Below are 24,336 nucleotides of genomic sequence, written 5' to 3'. Positions count from 1 at the left end.
GCCGTGGCCTCCCAAAGTGCTGGGATTACAGGCATAAGCCACCGTGCCTGGCCTCTTAATTCCTTTTTCTAGGACCAGAGTGGCAACAGGAGGCCCTGACAGGCCTCCTATTGCTAGCCCAGATGGCCCTGTCCTCTGGGCAGATACAGTCCTCTTCAGGCTCACTGCTGGGTAACAGAAGCTCCATTCACTTCCTTAGTAGTACACAACTGTACATGGTGGTAATGAATTGTGATTATGTAAAAATGACCCACATCAAAATGGGTAGAAAACATCTATTTGTCTATTTGGTAGGTAGGTTCGAGCGCTCTTACATTGTCTCCACCATTTACTTTCCTCCCAACCTTTTGAGGGTGGACTCATGACATAAATCTTAAGCATGCAGGTTGATGACTTTTTACATAAGTACACACCCAATTAACCACCACCCAGATGAAAACAGAGAACACTTCTTGTGTCTCAGAGACTCATGCTCCTCCCCAGTCAACACGGCCTCCCCAGCCACTGATCTAACAGAAGCCTGAGAGCTCCACAAGGGCCCAAGCAGGCTCTAGGACTCCACAGACAGGCCCAGAGCTGCTCTTCACCCATAACCTGCACCAGCCCTGGGGGCTCCCTGCTGCAGTCCACCCTGGAGCATTAGAGCCTCTGCTTTCCCCAGGGATGTGTGTTAGGTGATTTCAGGCCACTTGGAGGGAGAGCATGAAAGGGCAGCAGGAGATCACAGATCTTTCTGGCAGTGGAAGGAGAAAAACCCAGAAGCCAGAATAGGAGGAGGTCACAAGGAAGACCCTGGGAGGAATTCTTTTTCAGTTTTAAAACAACAAGTTTTTGTTGTTGTTGCTAAATGTTTCTTTGTGAGAAGAAAGCCTGCTAGCAACCTCCAATGTAGGGGGAGAGATGGGGAAGAAGAAATCTTGAGGGAGGTGGAAACCTAAGCAGATCCTTGCCTGGGAACAGCCACCATGTAAGTTTAGCTCAAGAGCTCCAGGAAGCATCTGGCAGGCCTGGGACTGACAGGCAGCAAAGCACAGTGGTTCAGAGAGTGGATTCCAGGCCTCTATCACTCACTCAGGTGACCTTGGCCTGGTTACTTAAAAAAAAAAAATCTTGCTATGACAGTTTCCCCATTTGTAAAATGGGGTATTATAGCCTACCTTGTAGGATTGTTGCAAGGATGAAATGAATTAACACAGGAAAACATTTAGAATAGTGCCTGTATATTCAAAGTGCTAAGAATTAGCTGCTATTAGATTGAGCCTCACGAAATTGCCAATATTCAACCATTTTAATCTACAAAAACAACTGCATATGATTCAACCTAACATATTATTATGATTCTATTACACTAGCCCAGGCTGAGGGCAGGAATTGTCAAGAGTCCCCACCTACCACAAAAGAGGCTTTGGCCCAGCTCTGCTGGCAGCTCGCATTTCAAGCTGCCACGGGCCCGGAGGATCCAGCCATTCTGCTCCCAGAGTACTATGTGCAAATGTGCCTCAGGCTCCTTTGCCCAGCGGTCTCAGGAAGGAAACCTCTCAGTGTGATCTCCTTTGTCAGTTTTTGGTCCTCTCTGCCAGGCAGCGGCCCTAGACAACTGCTTGGCCAGGGAGAAGCACGCACCCTTCCTGCTGGGGGCTTTTGTCGCAGCTGGGACCCAGCCCTTTGCCCCTGTGTACTCTGATGCCTCCTCTCCAAACCAGTTTCCCTCAGTATGAACCTTGTATGGTTTACTCATTATGTTAAAAACCACTTAATTAGAAAAGTGGGTTTTTAAAGCTCGCCTCATTGCTTCCAGGACTCGTGAATACACTAAAGGAAGTATTAATATTAATGATAATAAGCTCACTGTTTCGAGGTCTATATATCAAGTACACTATTCTAACTGTCTCACATGTATTTGTTTCTTTATTCTCATCATAGCCCAAGGAGGTAGGTACTATTGCCCCATTTATAGATAAGAAAACGGAGGCACAGAGAAACAAGTTACTTACTTACAGCTGCATGTTTAGGAAAGTGTGAGAGCTGGGATCCGACCCCAGGCAGTCTGGCTCCAAAGACCATGGTTTAACCACTGTACTACTCTGCACAGTCCCTAACCTTGACAGGAAGATATCTGCTTCCTCTCTGAACCCCTTACTGGCTCCCTTTATATCTGGCTCTTTTTCCCTGTTCTTCAAGTGTAACCAGTTTGCTGGTCTGCTAAAACTGCTGCAACTACCACTTTTATTTCTGTAACCACTTCAGCTGGTTTTTCTCTGAGTCACTTAACGTGGCTTTTAGCCCTAAAACTTCTCTCCTAGGCTGGACATGTTTGGTTTTTTACAATACCTGTATTCATCTACAGAGCTTCCTTCACAGTGATTTCACTACAAGCAGCCCTTCAGCAGTTAGGATACATGTGCCTACTTTCTCTGCAAAAGTCACACCCAACAGTTCACAACCTTACACAATGCTTTGTGCCCTTGTTCCTCACACCTCTGCCATGATTCTGTCTCCTAAAGGACACTGCCTGTCTAGCCTAACACCCAGGCACATTTTCTTCTTTTATCATTCATAGAATTTTAGAACTATGGAGGTGGGAGGAACTTTTCACCTTATCCAGTTTAATCGCCCATTCTATTTTGTCTAAAAGAAAGATGTGAGACTCTTCCACAAACAGGATTAATCGAGGTGTTAATACAGCAGCAGACAATAGCCTCCAATGCTGTTCTGTTGGGTATTGCCAAAAGGCCTCAGACCTACCAGATAATTGAAAATGCTACCCAGTAAAGAATATCTCTAGGATTAACATAGCTGTAAAGTCACAGAGTATTGTCCTCTGTTCTGCCGATATTGTGAACTGCTAAAAGCCATTCCAGGAATCATCTGCACCTCCCTGAGCTGATCTGGGAAGCACTTTTATCACATATGGCAAAGCTCTGAGCCTGGCTCATGATAACTAAATTAAACTTCATGCTCTTACTATCCGGCTCCACCTCAACCACATTATCCAAATGGATAGCTCATCCCAGCATACAGCCATTCCAGCCCCTTGTCCTCATTTATCCTGGAATGCCACACATGCTGCTCACTGGCAGAAGCCATGGTTCTTAATCAGTGGCCTGAAGCCTCGGCACCATGGCTAGCATCTACTCACAGAAGTCAATGCATCTGCTCTCCTTTTTCTTCCAAAGCCCTTACTTGGGCAAGCTGGGTCCTGTCTTTCCATCTATCTACTAAATAGTCTTCTGTTCTTTTGCCCCCTAACACCAATCACAGAGTGGTAATGCTCAGGGATCACATGGAGACGCTGCCACTCTTCAGAACATCTATGTTATTAGTTAGAACTTAGAAAAGCATTCAACTTTCTCTGGCTTTTCCCCCTGCTTTTAAAAGAGGTATATACCTATTAAAAACAAACAAACCAAAAAACCTCTCAGTTCAGAAACGTGCAAAGCATAAAAGCAATACACTCGCCACCCCCAACCCTAATGATTCTCTCTGGAGAGCCTGACAATCTCCTCAATCCTTATTTCCCTGACCCTGGAACAGCTCCTAGCCTACCCACCACCTAACATAGGCCCTTCTTGAGTTTTCTACATAGGGACTCTGAAGCACCCCCACCCAGGGGTTCCAGGAGGCTGTACTCTTGCTGGTCATCCCCTCTCAGCCACCTCTGCTCCCTGACCTCTTCATGTAGTCATATAAGAGTGTGTCAAGGCTGGGCCCTGGTCCCCTTCTCTGTCCATCCTTACTTCCTTAGGGATCTCATCCAGTGTGTCGGCTTTAAGCAGCATCTAGGCAAAGGCTCCTAAATTTATAGGTCCAGTCCAGATCTCTCTTTCAAACTCCAAACTCAAGATATATTTGCCTAGTCTGCATCTCTATTTAGACGTCTAATGGTACTTCAAATCCAATATGGCTGAAGCTGGACTCTTGCTGTCCCCACTGTAGCCTTCTCCATAAACCATAAAGCCATCCTGTAGCCTTCTCCATAAACTGTAAAGCCATCCAGACTCACCCCTTTCTGTTGTACTCTACACCCAATTCATCAGGAAATCTTGTTGGCTCTACTTACTAAACAGATCCAAAATCTGGCCACTTCTCACACCTCCACTGTCACTATCCAGGTCCTACCACCTTCATGTCTCATCTGGAGGATTACAGTAGCATCCTGGGTGGTCTCTGCTTCCACTCTTGCCCACACCTACAGTCTACATAGAAGCCAGGGTGGCCCTACTGAAACTAAGTCAGATTGTGCCACTCTCCTCTACTCATGGCTCTTAGAGTTCCTCTTCCACTCAGAGTAAAAGCCAAAGTTCTTACAGTGGCTACAAAGTCCTCTGTGATCTGGGTCCCTGTGACTCCTCTGACCTCACCTCTTCCTATTCTTCCCTTGGATCACTCTGCTCCAGGCCACACCAGTGACCGTCATGATTCCTTCCATAGCTCAGGCATGCTGCTGCCTGAGGCCCCTGCACTGGCTGTTTCCTCTGCCTAGACACTCTTCCTGCTGATGTCCACGTGGCTTGCTCCTTCACCTTCCCCAGGTCTTTGCTCAGATGTTACCTTCTCAGTGAACCTATCAAGACTACTTTATTCGAAATTGCAACCTGTCCCTTCTCTACCACCTAATAAAACCTTTACCCTGCTCTACTTTTTAAAAAAATATTATTTCTTAGCACCTTTACATTCTTTTCAATTTACTATTTACTATGATGTTATTTACTGTATGTCTCCCCACAACTATCAGAGTACGTAAGCTTTATGAGAACAGAGACCTCTCTGTTTCACTTCTTAATATAGCCTTTGTCTTTGACAGTGCTGGCATGTAGCAAGCATTCAATAAATGCTTGTCAGTGAATGACTGAAAGATCTCTTAGGCCTGCCCAGTCACTCTGCAGCCATTCTGGCACAAACACCCTTCTCACACTGAAGAACCCCTGGGCTCCAGTGACTTCCTGCCAACTAAGAGGGACGACCCCTTCAGAGCACCCCTTCTCCCTTCCTACTCCCAGCCAGGTACCTGCTATGGCACCTTCTGTCTGCACTGCCCACTGAGGGGCTAACTCCCATTCTAATGTTCATTCCCTGCCCACACTAAGCTCTTGGCCACTCACCTGAAAATCCTCCTCATCCAAGATCTCTTTCCTCCACTTGATCAAGAAGGCTGCACACACGTAGAGATGAAAGTGGGAGAACCCTTCTGGTTCAGACTGGGAAGCAGAAAAATAGAGTTAGGTCTCCCAGCCCTGACAAAGATTCAGCTCTGGTCCTCTCAGTTCCATTCCTTCTGGGAGGTGGGAAACTCTTTCACGGTTGGGGAGATGGAGTTCTGAAGAGACTTAGCAAAGGCCCTGCCCTGAGGCTAAAGCAGACATGGAAGTAGAAAAGAGGAGAAGGGGAAGCTTCTAAGCAGCTACATTCCACAACATGGCAGAGAGCTGGACACCTCAGAGACAGCCTGGCACAGAGAGGCCGGGGAATCCCTCCTACCTGATATGTGTCCCACAGGCGGATGGTGCAGCGAAGAGGAAGCTCCCGCATAAGCAGGTTGTTCATCCAGCGGAAGGCAAACTGCAGGTATTCTACCTCGTACCTCCTGAAGTGATTATGTACCTGCTCTGAAACAGGAAGCATCATTGGGGATCAACCTAGGGGACTGGACCCTGAAAGGGCCACAGGAGCCAAAATAGCAGCTCCCACTTCTTACTGCCCCCTCCCATGGGTAAGCAGACACAGAGGAGGCAGACAGCCATCTGACTGTCCTTTATGTTTGATTCCATCATCTCACAGCAACACTGCATGGTTAACTCAGCCCAGCAGACAGAACTATTTTAACATCCCCCAGTGATGTTCTAGGAGCCCCGCTTCCTTTGTGGGGCCGCTCTGGCCACAAAGCAGAGGATAATGAGGTTCACTTGGCTGCTCAACCTTAGTACTCATCAGAGAAGAAGCCAGAACTGAAAAGAACCATGGAGGTCACCTTGGCCACCCTCCTACTGGCGAGGAACTCCTCTTCAGCATCCCCGCCAGATGGCTAGCCAGCAGGGATGTGAACACTGCCAGCGAAAGGGGCTCACAAACTCCACTCAAGGGAAGCCTCTTCCACTGATGTATGAAGTGATTCACCAGAAAGCGCTTCACCATATTCAACAAAACCAGCTGCCTCCTCACTCCCACCCTTTGGTGTTCGTGTGATATTCTCAGGCAAGCCCAAACAAACCTGATTGCTGTTCCACAGGACAGCTCTCCAAATAATGCTTAGTGGGATTGTTTTCTAAATTACTGTCCTCAGTTTCCTACCCTATAAAATGGGAATAATCATTCACACCTCAGAGGGTTTCAGGGAAGATAAATGAGAACACACAAGTAAAGTGCTTACAATGGCACCTGGAATGTGGTAAATATTTCAAACAATTCTTGAAAGAAGAACTATTAACAATGGTTATGGCCAGGTGCTGTGGCTCACACCTGTAATCCCAGCACTTAGGGAGGCCGAGGTGGGCGGAGTGTTGAGCCCAGGAGCTCAAGACCAGGCTAGGCAACATGACAAAAGCCTGTCTTTACTGAAAATACAAAAATTGGCCAGGCGTCATGGTGCGCACCTATAATTCCAGCAACTCAGGAGGCTGAGGTGGGAAGATCCTTTGAGCCAGGAGGTCAAGGCTGTAGTGAGCCAAGATCGCACCAGTGCACTCTAGCCTGGGCGACAGAGCAAGACTCCATCTCAAAAAACAAGTTATTTCTGGGGAGAAGAATTTAAGGAGAGGAAGGATTCCTACCTTATCACCCTGGCTGGAATACAGTGGTGCGATCTTGGCTCACTGTAGCCTTGACCTCCTGGGCTCGAGTGATCCTTCCATCTCAACCTCCTGAGTAGCTGGGACTACAGTCGTGTGCCACCATGCCCAGCTACTTCTTAAATTTTTTGTAGAGATGGGGTCTCACCATGTTGCCCAGGCTGGTCTTGAACTCCTGGGCTCAAGTGATCCTCCTGCCTCGGCTGGGATTACAGGTGTGAGTCACCGTCCCCAGCCTGTTTAAATTTTTTTAATGAGGAAGTATTACTTCTACAATGCAAAGAAACATCCAAGATATATATACTTAAAAATCCACTATTCCAAAGTATTATGCCTTTATGTATCACGTATTTGTAAGGGCGGAAAAAATAAGGATAGGGCAGACAGTGGCAGAAACCACAGCATCTGCCTGTTGAAACTTGATTGATGACCAGCCTCTGGCAGCCAGCTTATCCCCCAGAAGAGGGCAGCATACACTCTGTGCTAGGCTCCGGTTGAGGGATGTCAAGAGACCTGCACAAGGGGCCCAAACGTGAGGGCTAACAGCTGGGCCAGGGTGATAAGACACAGCGGAAAAAAAATTCCACATGTGACATACGGGAAGTAACTGTGAATAAACAAATGGGTTCAGAAGATTGAAATGCTAAGTCATAAAATAGAGTGAGTGGAACAACTCAATGAAGGTTTTCATGAAAAGAGAACCTGGGAAAGAAGAGAGAAAGATATACAATGTTGGGGGTGGGGGTGGGCAGCAGGTAAGGGAGAAAGGCTTTGCTTGGGTGAAGCAGAAAATCCAATGAGTAGGAAAGCCTGGGAATAACATTTGTTAGCTGGTGTCAGGACAGGCAGAGTCCTATGGGAGCTACTACAACTTCACTAGTGTTAGAGATCCCACCGACTTCTCTCCCCATGCCTCACTTAAACATCAGTCAACAGCAGAGCTTCCTGAGTTGTCCTTTCGTTCTAACATTCTATGACTCTAGGCCAAAGCTGAGGAATTCCTGTAAGGCTGTTCCTCAAAGACATGTGCCTTAGGAAGAGCCACATCTCAATTTCCCCACCCCACACAAGTCCTGGGAAGCTGTATAAAGTCCTGCTGGGGTATCAGCCAGGCCTGAGGACCCCATATCAAGCCCAGGAGTTATGAGTTACATCATAACGTGAAGGACAAGGCCGGACGACAGGCTGGATGCTGAAGGCAATGGAGAGCTATGGGAGGCTTCAGAGCAGAAGAGGGACGTGGCCAGAACAGAGCTGCAGAAAGATGCAATTGCGTGACAGATAGTTTGGAAGAGAAGAGTATGGAGAAGGCAAGCCCTCTGAGGAGGAAGCTGGACCAGAGCTGTGGCTGGGGAAGTGGGGAACGGGCGTACTGAAGAGAGCTGCTGAAGGAGAACCGATAGAGCCTGGTGATAGGAAACCAAGGGGAAAGAAGAACTTGATATAACAGCACAGTTCTCACTTCACCTTCCTGCTGAGATGTGGAAGGATCCCGGTGCTGCCAGCAGCACTCAGTGCGCTGGAAAGGGTCATGGCTAGGAAGACAGCTGAGGAGAGGACCCACAAGCACAACCGCCTCATAACAGAATCAACTCTGCTATTGCTAGAGAACTCTTCTCCCTCTGAACCTACCATCAATCCGGCTGACAAGCTCTTCCAGTGCCTTCACCTTCTTCTGGATTCCTGGTTGTGCAAAGGTGTAGTTATCCTGCAAATGACACAGAGCCCAGGATGAACATGGACTCTAACTTGTGTTATCACCTGACATTCACTGAAACACGTTTAGAAGTTCAGGCCATTTTCCAAAGCTAGTACCAATGGCCAGTGACAGTGTTCTGGGAAACAAAGAAATCTACAGAACAACAGTGTTGGGGGAAAGCCCAATGGAGCCCTGCAGTGTGGAAGCAAACCCATGTGCTTGGGGTACAGAGCAGAAAGGAGCAGTCTACTCCAAAGACGAAGTCAAGGCAACATGGAGATTTCTGCAGACTCCAAGGGACACTACACCATCACTGTTTTGTTTTTTTTTTTTTTGAGATAGGGTCTCACTCTATCGCCCAGGCTGGAGTGCAGTGGTGTGATCATGGCTCACTACAGCTTTGACCTCCTAGGCTCAAGTGATCCTCCCACCTTAGCCCACTGAGGACCTGGTACTATAGGCACACGCCACCACGCCTGGCTAATTTTAAAATTTTTTGTAGAGAAGGGGTCTCTCTATGTTGCCTAGGCTGGTTTTGAACTCCTGAGCTCAAGCGATCCTCCAGTCTTGGCCTCCCAAAGTGTTGGGATTACAGGCGTGAGCCACCGTGCCCGACCCACCATTGCTGTTTGAAAGCTGTAAAGCCAATGAAGAAGGATAGAGATGGATGAAAAGGAGGAGGAGCCATAGTGGGTGGGTGGGTGGTCCTGCCTGATACAGAAGAGCAAGAAAGAAACCAAAGCCCTGCTGGGAGCCTCTGGACCTAGACGTTTGTTCCCACAAGGGCAGAAGCAGCTCACCTGGATTCCATCCAGCAGCTTGCTCATGCACCAAAAGCTGTCAGCCTCAATGCTTCGCAGCATGTCTTGAGACAAGTTGGTCACGTCAAAGTTCTCCACATCCTCTTCTGTAAAACAAAAGGTGAAGAAAGTCCAGAGGTCTTATCTAAAAATGGAGAGAGAAAGATAGATTCGAGTGTCTTCAATGGGGTCTTTAAGGCCAAGTGAGGACCAGGCTAACCTGATGTTAAGAAACAAGGGCCTGCCCCTCTACTGTCTGTGTCAGGTGGGCAAATATGTCCCTTCAAGAACATATTTGTTCTTGAAGATCTCACTACAACACTGGACAGGCCATTTCTCATGCTAGTCCCATCAGGTCCAACATATCTTTCTCTTCCTTGGCATTTGTTCGTTCAGTTTTAGAAAATGATACTTCAGGTCTCATGTTCAATGAATTATACTCAGATCCCTGAAGATGGCCTGGAAAATTTCTTTGATTTCAGCTCAGTGAGCTGTCTAGCACACTCACACTCATATATAGGGAGAACAGCTAGGATCAGAAAGCCCCCACAGTTTATTTTAAAGATGGAATTCCCAAGTTCTGATAAGGCAGACCCACAGTCTTGCCACTCAAAAGAGAAGGTATGCATGTAAAGGAAGATGAGTCAAGCCTGTGAGTGCTTCTAGGACTTAATTCCAACAAGATGGTATTTCTCAAGATGGGTTCTGCAAAACATCAATCCTACAGAACACTCAAAAAAAAGGGGGGGTTCCACAGACAAATATGGTTGAGAAATGTTGCATTAGATATCCCCATCTTGGAGATTAGCAAAGATCACAGCACACAAAAGGGTTTGAGAAGTTAACAGAAATTCTGCATTAAGTAAATCTGCTTAACTTTGTTTATCCAGCATTTCCCAAGTTTATCTAGCCACGAGACCTCTTTGGAAAGGACTATCTGTTAGCTTCTCATGGAAACCTCCCACTGAGTAACAGGAGTGAGAATCTGTCTCGTCTGAGATGCAAGTGAGGAAAACATAAGCAGCCTTCCAGAAACCTGAAGAAGGAAAAGGCTATGTGATGTGTCCTTCCTAGCCCATGTTTAACTCCCACTTCCTGTCACAGAGAGGTGAAGTAGTAAGAAGTGCTGTGTTTGCCCAACAAGAAAGGCCCCTGTGTATGCCTGTCAGAGGCCACACACAGAAACAATCAAGCCCTTGAGTTCTCTACCAGACAGCTTTTCTCCTCAGACCCACAACCCCTATTCTGGAAACAGATGTTCACTGCAATCCCTTGTGCTACAGAGACACAGGCATTAGACAAAATGTATTCAGAATCTAGCCTTTTTTTTTCTTTCTTCCTTTCTTTTTTTTGAGACAGGGTCTCACTCTGACGCCCAGGCTGGAGTGCAGTGGCACGATCTCGGCTCACTGCAGCCTTGACTTCCCAGGCTCAGATGATCCTCCCACCTCAGCCTCCCAAGTAGCTGGGACTACAGGTGCATACAACCACGCCCAGCTAATTTTTTGTCGTTTTTGTAGAGATGAGTTTTTACCATGTTTCCCAGGCTGGTCTCAAACTCCTGGACTCAAGTGATCCTCACACCTCAGCCTCACAAAGTGCTAGGATTACAGGTGTGAGCCACTGCACCTGACCCCAGCCTTTTCATTTCTAAGCATTGTTACTAAGACCTATATCTGAACCTCCTTGAGAAAACATGTAACAACTCTCGGATTCTCACCCGTTTAAAGAGACATTTTTAAATGAACATCAAGGCTGAAAAAAAAAAAACCCCTCTTGAGAAGGGTGGGGTGCTTTATCAGAAAAGCCATGACTCTAGGAATGACCTAAAAAAAAAAAAATCCAACTTGAAGGCCAGCTGCAGTTAATATATATAAAGTGCTAAATATAGTGCCTGGCACACAGTAGGCACAATATAGCTATCTTAGATGGAATTTATGAGGAACTTGTAACGACATAAAAAAGCATGCCACAATATTAAGGAGAAAAGAGGGGAAAAATTATTTATGGCATACTTTCTTACTGTGCATACAATATTTATGTGTTTATATAAGCACAGAGGAAAGACAAAACATCTCAAGGTTTACAGTATTTATTCCCCAGGTGGTACGAATGAAGGATTTTATTTTCTTAAAGCTTTATTGGACTTTTCAAAATTTCTATAATAAGCATAATTTTTATAGTCATTTTATATGCACAGTATTTTAGGAAAAAAGAGCCACAATTGACTACATCTGCCTTTTATCACCAAAAAAGAATAAAGAAGACTTTGTAAAACAACACTAAGCTTGCAGAAACTAAAAATCTAGATAGCATATAAAGATCAATTTGAGAAATCACATTTTATTTTTATTTTGAGACAGAGTTTTGCTCTTATCTCCCAGGCTGGAGTGCAATGGCACGATCTCAGCTCACTGCAGCCTCTACCTTCCAGGTTCAAGCAATTCTCCTGCCTCAGCCTCCCAAGAAGCTGGGATCACAGGCATGAGCCACTATGCCTGGCTAATTTTGTATTTTCAGTAGCGACGGGGTTTCACCATGTTGGCCAGGCTTGTCTCAAACTCCTGACCTCAGGTGATCTGCCTGCCTTGGCCTCTCAAAGTGGTAGGATTACAGGCGTGAGCTACCGTGCCCAGCCGAGAAATCATATTTAAAAATTCTTCCAAGAAATATCATTTTTCTTTTATTCCTATTATTCTTTTTATTATTTTTCTTTTATTCCTATTATTCCTTTTATTCTTTTATTGTATCCTAACTTAAACATTTACTATGTAGGTTTTTTTGTTTTTTTATATATGTAAGTATATATACATATTTGTTTTCTTATATATGGTAGTATACATACATATTTTAAAATATATGTAAGTATATCTATATAGATATACTTACATATATAAAGCTATATTAAAATATAATTATATATAAAATTATATTTCACATATATTTAAATATAATTATACATTATATAAAAATAAAATTATGTAAATATAATTTTATATTTTATAATATATATTTATATATTAACAGTTTAAATTATTTTACCTAATATTTTATATTATGTTTTATATTATATTTTAATATTATATAATTAATTAATTTAGTTAAATGATATTGGGCTGTAAAACCCGGCTTAGGATCTTCCTTTGACTTTTTGCTTCATGTTACATTTCTAAGGTCCGTGTTCCTGTACATACCTCTAGTTCATTGCTGCATGGTGCGCCTCCATCACACTTTATCCATTTCCTCAGGGATGGATATACCCAGGTTGCCTCCAACTCTCATGACCATAAACAATGCCCCAAGGAACTGTTTCCTTTGAGAACTGCTCTGGGTCACAGGCTCAGGCAGACTCTTCTCCAGGACTAGCCTCACAACGGTGCACAAGGGAGGAGAGCCCTTTCCCTATTCATGAGCATGACTTCTAATCCATCCTAGGCAGCAGCTCCCTCTTTATGAAAATAGGGTCGTTGGAAAAAAGTGAAACCCACAGGGAAGGATGGAGACTAAAACCACCCCAACTCCTCCTACACATTTCCTAAAGGAAGATCCAGAGCTCCATAATAAATTGAAAGGTCTTTTCCAACTTGGGCATTTTAGGATTCCAGAACATTGCAATGCAAATACAAGCATAATTGGAAACCACACATGGCAGGGTAAAAAGAGAGCAAGAGCCCCAGTTCCTGAGGGCAACAGGAGCATCGCTGTCACACCAGCCCTAGTGACCTGTGGCTTTTTTGTCAGACAGAATAGCAAGCACATGGCTAAGAGCAGACTCTGAAGCCAGGCTGCAGAGCTCAAGTCCTGGCTCTGTCATTCAGTAGCTATGTGACTTTGCACAAATGGCTTTACTTTCTGTGTCTCAATTCCTCATCTGTTAAAGTGGTAATATCAGTACTAGTGTCATAGGATATTTTATGGATTAAATAAGTTAGTTAATATATGAAAAGTGCTAACAACAGTGCCTGGCATAAAGTAAGCATTACATAAAAGTTAGCTGGCATAATTATTATTGTTACCAAAGGAATAAATACACTTCTACCTTATTTAAGCCACTGGCACTGTCTTTTTTTTTTTTTTTTTAAGAGACAGGATCTTACTATATTGCCTAGGCTGGTCTTGAACTCCTGGGCTTAAGTGAACTCCCACCTTGGCCTCCCAAAGTGCTGAGATTACAGGTGTGAGCCTCCATGCCCAGCCAGCACTGAAATTCTGGATCTCTATTATTCACAGCCAAACTTAATCCTAACTGATATACCTGCCATCCCAAAATATACCTTAAAAATAAGTCAATTTTAAAAGTTCTCTACTTCTGTCTTTCGTCTTAAGGAGGAAAACCTGACTAACAACATGAGGTCATAAGTTGGTAAGGTGCCATGCTCGGTAACTGTACCCACTCCAAACTGTTAGCCATCTAGGGAGCAAAGGGAACAACAGACAAGGTGCTGAACCCTATTTTGGGGCACTGAAATGGGGGCTGTTGTTTGCCCATTAGCCCTTTGTTTTCACAGCCAGTGAGATAGTTCCCCAGCACTTCAGAGAGTGGGAGGGAGGGTTTAGTTCTATTTTTCTGCCTGCTGGGTGGATAAAATTCAAACATTTAGTCAAAAACTGTGAGCTGAGTGCACCAGCAAAAAGCAGTGGAGAAAGGGAGGAGCAAATGCTCTCTGAAGGGCTTCATTCAGCATAAACAATCTGTTCAGAAGGATCATTAAGCGTCCACTTGAGGAAATTCAACACATAATTGAAGCTGAAATGGGAAACCATGCCAGCAGTGCAGTCTCGAGTGAGGGCAGCGTCTCTGGTTGTCATGACAAGAGCATACAGCAGCAGGACTCAGATGGGAGGAAACAAGATTTTAAGGGATATTTTATGGCTATTTTAAAAGGCAAGGCATCCACAAGGAGGAAGCTCAAAAGCTCTTTATAAAAATCAAATTGGCCACTCTGGGCCTTACAAAGAACATGCCCATTTATTAACTGATGAAATGTACTTGAGTGATGGCTCCAGTCAACTGTTTATTTTTCCAAGAACTCTGAGCCCCAGTCCTAAAAAATCAGCTTAATATATGCCTCAAAAATTCCCTGACAGTTTTAGGAAGAACTGGTTTTACCAACACCAACAAGAGTAACTTGTCTATTCACTGCTCTAGGCATTTCCCAGGAACCATCTGTGATCTCAGGACAATTTCTAGATGTGATCTGGTGGGCCAGCATGATTCAACCTGACCGGCCGGACCAAGAGGCTCCAACGCCTCAGCTGCAGATGGCCTTTCTATTTTCCAAAGCCTCTGGTTTACCTGATTCGGGTCCTTGTTGTTGTTGTTGTTGAACCGGACTCATAAGAATACCTTGCGTAATATTTTCTGATAACAGGCCAGGCGCTGTGGCTCACGCCTGTAATCCCAGCACTTTGGGAGCTCCAGGCAGGTGGATCACAAGGTCAGGAGTTTGAGACTAGCCTGGCCAATATGGTGAAACCCCGTCTCTACCAAAAATATAAAAATTAGCCGGGCATGGTGGCAGGTGCCTGTAGTCCCAGCTACTCAGGAGGCTGAGGCAGGAGAATTGCTTGAACCCGGGAGGCAGAAATTGCAGTGAGCCGAGATTATGCCACTGCACTCCAGCCTGGGCGACAGAGCGAGAAGACTCTGTCTCAAAAAAAAAAAAAGAAAAAAAAGAAAAAAAAATTTCTCATAACAAAAGTAAACTGACTGAGAAAAATAAAAAAATATTTTTGACCATATCTAAAGAACCTCTTAAAACAGCAACAAATATTTCATTCAGAAAAAAGCAGTTTTAAGAAAACTGTCAAGAATTCATCTTATCACTTCTATGTAATAATTTTGAACTGGTTCAAGCGCTATATATAAACGTATTGTTGGGTGTTATGCATCTGGCATTTTCAGGAAAGTACCTGATGGCAGCAGCTGAGACAATAATAGCACTGCAAACCTGTAAGTGTAGAGAGGGTGGAGAGGCCCCTCGCTAAACCTGGGAAAGCCAAACCACCTGACAAAGACAGGGGGAGCTGGTCTCTGAGAGAGATGGCCACTCCAATGAGATGGTTGGAGGAAAGACTTATTTCGAGATTCCCACAGAGAAGAGACCCACTGGGAGGTGGTTCTGTTTCACAAGGCCCATGTTTTTCTGACTGTCAGAGGAGATGTGCTATTTTGAAGATGCTGCTTAGCTGACCATACAGCATTCTGACACTGTGCCTGTCAATCAGGGTGGTGACTATTAACTCAGAATAATACATGAACTCTGGCTGCTCAGTATAGGATAGCATGGGTATACATGTATCATGATGCCCTGGTTAAAATTAATTTTAAAAACCAACATACCACCAAGTTTTCACTATTTTCCTTAGGTTGCTGTATTACTTTTACTTTTATTTAGCAAACATTAGTTGCTGCTGGTTAAGTCAGCCTCCTGACATTGGCTATAGGATCCCAGATTATATGAGCCCAAACTCTGAGTATTTGGGTTATGGAGTAAAGGAAGAGGAGGCAAAGGAAAGGCAAGGTCCAGCACATACTTAATCTTCTAGGACCTGCCCAAAGACCACTCACAGAGATGGGCAGCATGTTACTAAGACGCTGTGGATGTGAACAGGCTCTGGGAGGCTCAGGGTCCCCACTGCCAGTGTCAGCTGTTCACAGAGGCTACTCATGTAGGCTCAAATATCTTCAATATGTTGGCTACCTCAACATCTCCTCTGTTACGATTTCTCACTTATCCCTGGGGTCAGATGAGGGACAGAGAGCAAATGTGCACATCCTGCTCAGCTCACTGCCAGGGTAGAGGACTAGGCTAGGTCTTATAGTCTCAGAAATGACAAGCCACAACTTGCCCTTGGAGAGCTCACCTCCTGCAATGACAGGAAATCCAGCACTGGACGCACCACTGTCCCACCAAACGCACACACTGTCTTCAAGTGTCACTGAAAGCAGCTCAGCATCCTGACTGGGCTATCTCCACACACTGCTGGCAAGAGCCTCAATATTTCTCAGCTGCCTATCACATGGGAGGCTGCTTCATCTACGAAGATGGGGCCAGGAGGCAGCTTGAGTCCCAAATAGGGTGGCTGCTAAAAACTCAGCATCAAGCCCACTCCCCACCAATTCCCTCCAAACTAACAACATTAAAGTGGAAAATTCTTACTATATGATTCAAATTAGATAAAGCTTAGAAATAGGCAAAACTGACCGGGCGCGGTGGCTGACGCCTGTAATCCTAGCACTTTGGGAGGCCGAGACGGGTGGATCACGAGGTCAGGAGATCGAGACCATTCTGGCTAACACAGTGAAACCTTGTCTCTACTAAAAATACAAAAAAATAATAGCCAGGCGTGGTGGCGGGCGCCTGTAGTCCCAGCTACTCGGGAGGCTGAGGCAGGAGAATGGCGTGAACCCGGGAGGCAGAGCTTGCAGTGAGCCAAGATTGCGCCACTGCACTCCAGCCTGGGGGACAGAGCAACACTCCGTCTCAAAAAAAAAAAAGGAAATAGGCAAAACTAATCTAGGTGTTAGAAATCAGTAAAGTAGTTACCCTTGTAGGGGCAGGGGAGGAGAGGACGGGGTAGGGACTAGGAGGGAACACAAAGGGACTTCTGAAGTCCTAGAAACGTTCCACGTCTTGCTGTGAGTGCTGGTTATTTTGGGGAAATTCATCGAACTGTGCATGTATGACAGATGCACTTTTCTAAATGTATGATTTAATATGAAGTTCACATTTTAAAAAGCAGAAAAGGAATGGCCTCTTGAGACAATAATAAAGTTTGTCCAGTTTCATCTTTGGCCTAGCCAGACAGGGAGGAACAGACTGGGCAAAGCTGATGCAAAGAGTCAGATGTAAGATGGAGGATGCCGCCTCCCAGGACTGAGCGTGGGGGGCGAGCACAATCCACAACAGCCCAGGAGCAAGACAAGACAACAGGATCCACACTACCTTTTCTTTGAAAATGTGAGTGTTGACTATCAAAAATTAACTGCACAGCTCCCTCCCTTACCTCCTTCAGGGCTCTGCTCAAATGTCATCTCCTCAGTGTGAAGGCGGCTCACCACCCGGTTTAAAACCTGCCTCCTGCTCCCACACTTGCCAGCATGGCACATCCCTGTCCCTCTTTCTTGCTTTGTTTCTATCCATAGCACTTATCTCAATCCTACAAATATCTGTTTTTTCAGTTGATTGTCTGTTTCTGCCCACCAGAAATTAAACTAAGAAAGCGATTTTTTTAAAAAAGTAGAATTACGCATAGTAAACTGCACATATGTGCACAGTTCTATGAGTCTTGACACATGTTTATGTCTATGGTTTAAAAAAAAAATGCCCCCATCCAAATAGAGAATATTTCCATCACCCCGGAAATGTTTCCTTATGCTCATTCTCAGCCCACCTCCCACCATAGGTAAACTTTGCTCTCATTTCTATCGCCATAGATAAGCTTTACCTATTTTTAACTCCATATAATGTGAATCATACAATATATATATTTTTTGGTATCTGGCTTCTTTCATTCTGTTTCATGGTTTCTGAGACTCTTCCATGTTGCTGTACTACTAATAGTACGTTCTCATTTATTGCTGAGTACTGCTCTGTGGTATGGATATCTGTTCTCATATTAGCTGATATTAGGGTTGTTTCATTTTATGTCTGTATAAAGTTGCTGTGAATATGTTTGTGCATGTCTTTTGGGGCTATAAGCCTTCATTTTCCTTGAATAAATACCTAGAAGTAGAAGGCAGGGTTTTTGTCTACTTCGTTTATGGTCATAAACCCCAGTGCCTAGAGCAGTGCCCTGCACATGTGGGTGCTCATCAAAGACTTGTTGACTAAGTGGTGGTGCTCCACCTCCATCCCTTAGGGGAGAGAGAACTTTCGGCTAATTCAGCACAGTATCAGAAAAGTGTAACTCACTGCCCTCCAGTGGCCAAGCCTAGTGAAGCTGTACTAATTTCTGAGTATTCTGCAGTTATGGAATTTTCATTCTCTCATTCATCTGGACATGTGTGGAATGCCTATTTTGGACACCAAAATGAAGGTACTGGGGATATGAAGATGTTTAAAATACTCTTTGGCCTCAAAGAATCAGAAAGTCTGGTGGCAGAGAGTAGGAGGGAAACACAAACAACTAGCGAGGTAAAGTGCCACAGGAGAAATCTACAGAGTGACAGAAATAGCACTATTAGATGCCGGGGGTCAGGGGGACCCCAGGGAAGGCTTCTAGGAGGAAGGGGAGTCTTAAAGGGTGCACAAAGATTAGCTCAGGAGATAAAGAGGTGGTGCAGGACAAGGCTTTACATTTACAATGTCCATTTTGGATTGTTGAGTTTAAGGGGCGAAGCAGGGAGCAGGTCACAGGGCCTTTACATGCCAAGTTAGAAAACCTGGACATTTAACCTATAGGTGATGGAATGCTAAGGAAGGATTTTTGTCAGAGGAGTTCTGTGGGCGAGTCTCTGTTTGAATGGTGTGCAAGATGGGTTTGAAGGAGATAAAACCGGGGGTGAGAAAACATGCTTGGCTGGTTCAGCAATCCAGGCCTGACCTAGGGCGTGCATAGTGAGAATGAAGAAGAAGCAGATTAAGAAACATTTAGGACGTAAAATCACCAGAGCTTTGTAAATGATTGGATATGGAAGAGTAAGGAAACAGAATCATGAACAATTCTTAGCATTTCTGACTTAAGTGACAGGAAATACTGCCAACTAAGAGAAAAGGGTGCCTGGGTAAGGGAAGGAGAAGAGCCAAACACCGAGTCTGAGGAGCCTAAGAATAGCAAAGATTGCCTAAAAATAACTGTTCCCTTCTTCCTCCTTGGTGACAGGACCCCTAAGTGTATTGGCCACCTAAGACAGACTGTTTCTCAGCCTCACTTGCTGCTAGGTGTGCCCACGAGATTAAGTTCAAACAAAAGAGAATCAAGCCCCAGAGTCATGCACAGCTTTCAGAAATGTTCTTAAACAGAAGAAGTATGCCTTGCTTCCTTTCCTTCTCCATACTGGCTGGAATATTGATGTGATGGCTGGAGCACAAACAGCTCTTGGATCATGAGAAAGAAACCACATGCTGAAGACTGCAGAATGAGAGAGAGCAACCTGGATCTCTGATATTTTGGAGCAGCAGATAAGCCCCAGATCACTCACCTCTGGACTTTTAATGTGAGAGAAATAAGCTTTTCTATCTTACTTAAGGAACTGTTACTTGGGTTCCCTGTTATGTGCAGCCTAGCTAATCCTAAGTGATCATCTATGACATAATCAGGTGGAAATGCCATGTAGGGAACCGGACACAAGTCAGAGGTCTGCGGAGGACTTCCTTTCCGAGAGTTCCACTGCTGTCATGCTTCCAGGTAAAATCTACGGTGAAAATCCTACTGTGCTGTTTTATGCAAAGGAAAAGAGAAAAGGTTACTTGATAATTGGTGTTGCATTTTGTACCTAAAAATATCATCAGACACCACTCTTCTTTTGAAAATAGGAAACATCATAAGTCCTGCTCTTCTCCATGACTTCCTTATATGAATCACTTCTGTTGTTCCTGTTAAGCAGTTTATTTTGATGATGGCTGCATGGTCAATTATATTGGACCTCAGTAGTTCAGAGCTAGACTAATATTGCCTAAGCCTAAAAGCTCTTGGAGGAAAGAGTTTAGAATTATACCACAGTCTCAGAGATAAGATTCCAGAGACTTTATCTCCCCAGGGGTGACCTCCCCACCTGCAGCACTGTCACCACTAGACCCAGACACAGCTGGCTTATCTGCAGAGGACCCACTTTTACAGGAGCAGCTGGCTTCAGCAGATAAAGAAGCTGCTTGGGGGCAAGGCTAGAGCTATAGACAACTTCTCTATCAACTCACAGGGGAATCACTGGAACTCACTGTTTCCAACTACTTTACAACAAACATAACATAAAGCATGAAGCAGGCTCAGGTACTAATTTTTAAAAGTGATAGAGGTGGTAGAGAATAGGTAGGGGAAGAGATATGAGAGAAGCCAAATAATGTCCCAGTGGCATGTGGACCCCACGGCTCCACTAGGGCAGATCCCCTATGCTATGATTCAGTGAGATGGGGCAGTGGGGTAAGGATGCCTGGAGAGACCTACCCAGGATAATGAGGGCAACTGCTGGCCTGTTCCATGAGAAAGATACTTGAGGCTTCCTACAGTAGGGAGAGTCACACCAGGAGGGCCATAGCAAAAAACCTTTGACAGCAGCTGCCTCATCCAGATACGCCAACATGAGAGAAGTAGAGAAGAGAAGCATCATTGCCCAGACAAAAAAATGATGCTTGCTGGCCACAATGTTGTATCTATCTCTGTTCAAGAAAGGTGTGAGGGTGGGGAGAAGTCTGTATTTCTTTGGAATTTAATTTATATCCAGCAACTGACAGGTAAATAAGATGTAGTACATCCATATAATAGAATATTTGGCCATAGAAAAGAATGAAGTACTGACACGTGCTACAACATGAATGAATCTTGAAGACATTACGCTAAGTAAAAGAAGCCAGACACAAAAGACTCCATACTGTGTGGTTCCATTTATATAAAATGTCCAGGATAGGGAAATCCCTAGATACAGAAGATTAGTGGTTGCCCAGGGATACACGGGATGGGAGGCTTAGGGGTGATGGCTAAAGAGTACGAGTGTTCTTTCTGGGGTGATAAAATGTTTTAAAATTGATTGTGGTGACATACAACTCTGTAAATATACTAAAAATTATTCACTGTACCCTTTAAATGAGTAAATTGTCTGGCACACGAAGTACATCCCAATAAAGCTGTTACCAAAAAACCCACAAAAATTGTAATTTATAAATTTATTGCAACTCCAATAAAAATTGTATTAATAAAAGGTTCCCCACTCCTACATTTGACAAAAGTTGATTCTCAAGTTCAACCAGATGAACCTGGAAGACATTATGCAAAGTAAAAGTTGGTTTACAAAAGGACACATGCTATATGAATCCACTTACATGAGGTATCTAAAATAGTCACAAACATAGAAACAGACAGAGTAGTGGCTGCCAGGGGATAGGGGGAAGGGGAAACAGAGGGTTGACGTTCAGAGGGTACAAATTTGACAACTGTAGGCAAGATGAATATGTTCTAGAGATCTGCTGTACAACCATGTGCCCACAGCTTACGATACTGTATTGTGCACCTCAAAATTTGTTAAGAGGGTAGACCTCATGTTAAGTGCTCTTATCACTATGAGAAAAAGATAAAAAATAAACAAAATTGAAAAATAAGTTCATCTGGAAGAACAACCAAGACAGTATTTTTTTAAAGGATAATGAAAGAGACTGGCCCTGGGTGGGGGGAATTTTTTTTAAAAAGCCACTAATAAAAAATAATAGCCAGGCACGGTGGCTCATGCCTGTAATCCCGGTGTTTTGGGAGGCCAAGGTGGGTGGAGGACTTCAGGCCAGGAGTTCCAGACCAGCCTGGCCAGCGTGGTAAAACCCCGTCTCTACTCAAAAATACAAAAATTAGCCAGGCATAGTGGCGATGCCTGTAGTTCCAGCTACTAGGGAGGCTGAGGTGGGAGGATGGCTTGAACCTGGGAGATGAAAGTTGCAGTGAGCCAAGATTGTGCCATTGCACTCCAGCCTAGGCAACAGAGTGAGATTCCATCTCAAAATAAATAAATAAATAAAATATATAATAATAATAATTTAACAACTTTATAAACTCAAAAAATCTAAGCTGTGTGGTACTGGATAGAAATGGAGACAAATAAAATCAAACCAACAAAGCAGCAGAACCATGTAATTAAAATTACGTAATATTATGAAGAGAGATTTCACATCGGTGAAAAGATGGTGTATTATTTATAAATGGTGTCGAAATAATTAGCTATGCAACTGGAATAGTAACTATAAATCTCAGTTCTCATCATACAAGAAAATAAATTAGTAATGGAATTTAAAAAGTTAAATGTTAAAGCCACAAGAGTATTAGAAGAAAACACGGGAGAGTATTTTTGTAATCTTTTTTTTTTTTTTTTTTTGACAGAGTCTCACTCTGTCACCCAGGCTAGAGTGCAGTGGCGTGATCTCGGCTCACTGCAACCTCTGCCTCCCAGGTTCAAGCGATTCTCCTGCCTCAGCCTCCCGAGTAGCTGAGATAACAGGCAGCCGCCACCATGCCCGGCTAATTTGTGTATTTTTGGTAGAGACGGGTTTTGCCATGTTGACCAAATTGGTCTGGAACTCCTGATCTCATGTGATCCGCCTGTCTCAGCCTCCCAAAGTGCTGGGATTACAGATGTGAGCCACCATGCCCGGCCAGTATTTTTGTAATCTTGAGGTGGGGAAGGAAAGAGTTCCTAAGCAAGATACCAAATCCAAAAACCCTAAAGGAGAAGCTGCTTCCCTCAGAGGCTTCATCACAGTTTGCAATTATCTGGTGACTTGTTTGTGAGCCTCCCTACCAGACAGGAGTTGCCACAAGGGCAGGCCCATGTCTATCTCCTGGCACATAGTAACAGCTTAATAAATACTTGTTGAATGGACAGATCTGACTGTATAAAAATTACTAAGTTCTACATAAAGAGACACAAGTAGCAAAGTTAAGAGATAAATAATGGTCTGGGGAAAATATTAGGTTGGACTACATAAAATTCCCATGTTGGGCGGTAAAAAAAAGGTTGAGTATTAACAATTTATATGATTCAACCTAATATTTTTAACACATAGCAGATGAAGGATAAATTTATCTAATATACAAAAAGCTCTTACAAAACAAGACAGGTCAATAATCCATTAGAAAAAATAGGTAAATGATTAAACCAGCAGACCACAAAAGAAAATGATAATACAGATGAGAAAAGATACATAATATCACTGACCAGAAAGTGGAAACAAAAACTGAAACACAAACCATGGTTTATCTGCTAGACAGGTGAAATACACTAGACTTCATCCATACACAGGTTTTGCTAAGGAGGTGAGGAAAAGTGCATCCACACATTTCATGGCTGGAGTACAAACTGGTATAAACATTTTTGGATTATAATTCAGTAGTACCTATTTGGCATGCTTTCAGGATTAGTAATTTCACTTCTAGGACTCTTTCAGAGAAATACATATTTTAACAAGTGCACAAGAAAATATGTACAAGGATATTCACTGCAATGTTACTTATAACAGCTAAAAACTGTAGGCAACTTAGGCCAGGCGCGGTGGCTCACGCCTGTAATCCCAACACTCTGGGAGGCCGAGGTGGGCGGATCACGAGGTCAGGAGATCGAGACCATCCTGGCTAACATGGTGAAACCCCGTCTTTCCTAAAAATACAAAAAATTAGCTGTGCGTGGTGGCGGGCGCCTGTAGTCCCAGCTAATCGGGAGGCTGAGGCAAGAGAATGGCGTGAACCCGGGAGGCGGAGCTTGCAGTGAGCCGAGATCGCGCCACTGCACTCCGGCTTGGGCAACAGAGCAAGACTCCGTCTCAAAAAAAAAAAAAAAAAAAAAAAACTGTAGGCAACTTAAATGTTCTTCTAGAGAAGAAAAGTTAAACTATAGTTAAGTCTTGTTATAGAAATAATGGAATTGCTGAAAATAATGAAGTGGATCTATATGTTCAGGCTTTGAAAGCTTGCTATATGATATTTTTAAATGAACACAAGCAAAATACAGAAAAGTATGAATAGCTTGATTTCATTTTTCTGAACCCAGTAAAGAAAAACAATGTATGCAGCTCCATCCATACATAGGAAAAGGTCTGGAAGAACACACAACAAGAGGTTAACAACTGTAGTTATCTTGGAGGTGGGTGTGTGTTTGTTAACACTTCTATATTGTTTTGATTTTTTTTTTAAATTATACTTTAAGTTCTGGGATACATGTGTAGGACGCGCAGGTTTGTTACATAGGTATACACATGCCATGGTGGTTTGCTGCACCCATCAACCTGTCATTTACATTACGTATTTCTCCTAATGCTATCTCTCCCCTGGGCCCCCCAACCCCTAACAGGCCCTGGTGTGTGATGTTCCCCTCCCTGTGTCCATGTGTTCTCATTGTTCAACTCCCACTTATGAG

At 44.0% G+C, this 24,336-nt stretch overlaps 1 protein-coding gene across 6 annotated transcripts in view, besides 2 other annotated features; it reads right to left on the bottom strand.

The window, feature by feature from the left end:
• The window catches only part of TBC1D22B (TBC1 domain family member 22B), a 75,199-nt gene that overhangs the window by 10,662 nt on the left and 40,201 nt on the right, over nucleotides 1–24,336 (bottom strand). For 3 of the 6 annotated variants that reach the window (NR_130108.2, NM_017772.4, XM_011514738.4), the window contains exons 9-12: nucleotides 9,285–9,391; nucleotides 8,418–8,493; nucleotides 5,479–5,606; nucleotides 5,103–5,198 (exon numbers count right to left, since the gene is read on the bottom strand). Coding sequence is in view for 5 of the 6 variants with exons in the window: in NM_017772.4 (NP_060242.2) it covers nucleotides 5,103–5,198; nucleotides 5,479–5,606; nucleotides 8,418–8,493; nucleotides 9,285–9,391 (407 nt within the window). In the remaining variant the exon portion in view is untranslated. Of the gene's footprint in view, nucleotides 1–5,102; nucleotides 5,199–5,478; nucleotides 5,607–8,417; nucleotides 8,494–9,284; nucleotides 9,430–24,336 lie in introns of those variants that run through there. The other 3 variants (XM_011514739.3, XM_047419000.1, XM_047419001.1) reach the window with 3 other exon arrangements.
• Nucleotides 7,182–7,476: an enhancer, noted in NCBI's record as "tiled region #3623; K562 Activating DNase unmatched - State 5:Enh". NCBI's record gives its function as "activates a minimal TATA promoter and a strong SV40 promoter by Sharpr-MPRA in K562 cells {active_cell/tissue: K562}" and the evidence as "EXISTENCE:reporter gene assay evidence [ECO:0000049][PMID:27701403]".
• Nucleotides 18,079–18,128: a silencer, noted in NCBI's record as "silent region_17138". NCBI's record gives its function as "represses an Ori minimal core promoter by ATAC-STARR-seq in GM12878 lymphoblastoid cells {active_cell/tissue: GM12878}" and the evidence as "EXISTENCE:reporter gene assay evidence [ECO:0000049][PMID:35858748]".

This window comes from Homo sapiens, chromosome 6 (assembly GCF_000001405.40).
Source record: "Homo sapiens chromosome 6, GRCh38.p14 Primary Assembly".
In the NCBI taxonomy this organism is placed as follows: domain Eukaryota; kingdom Metazoa; phylum Chordata; class Mammalia; order Primates; family Hominidae; genus Homo; species Homo sapiens.
The sequence above is the reverse complement of the archived record's forward strand: the minus strand, read 5'-3'. Positions and strand labels throughout refer to the sequence as shown.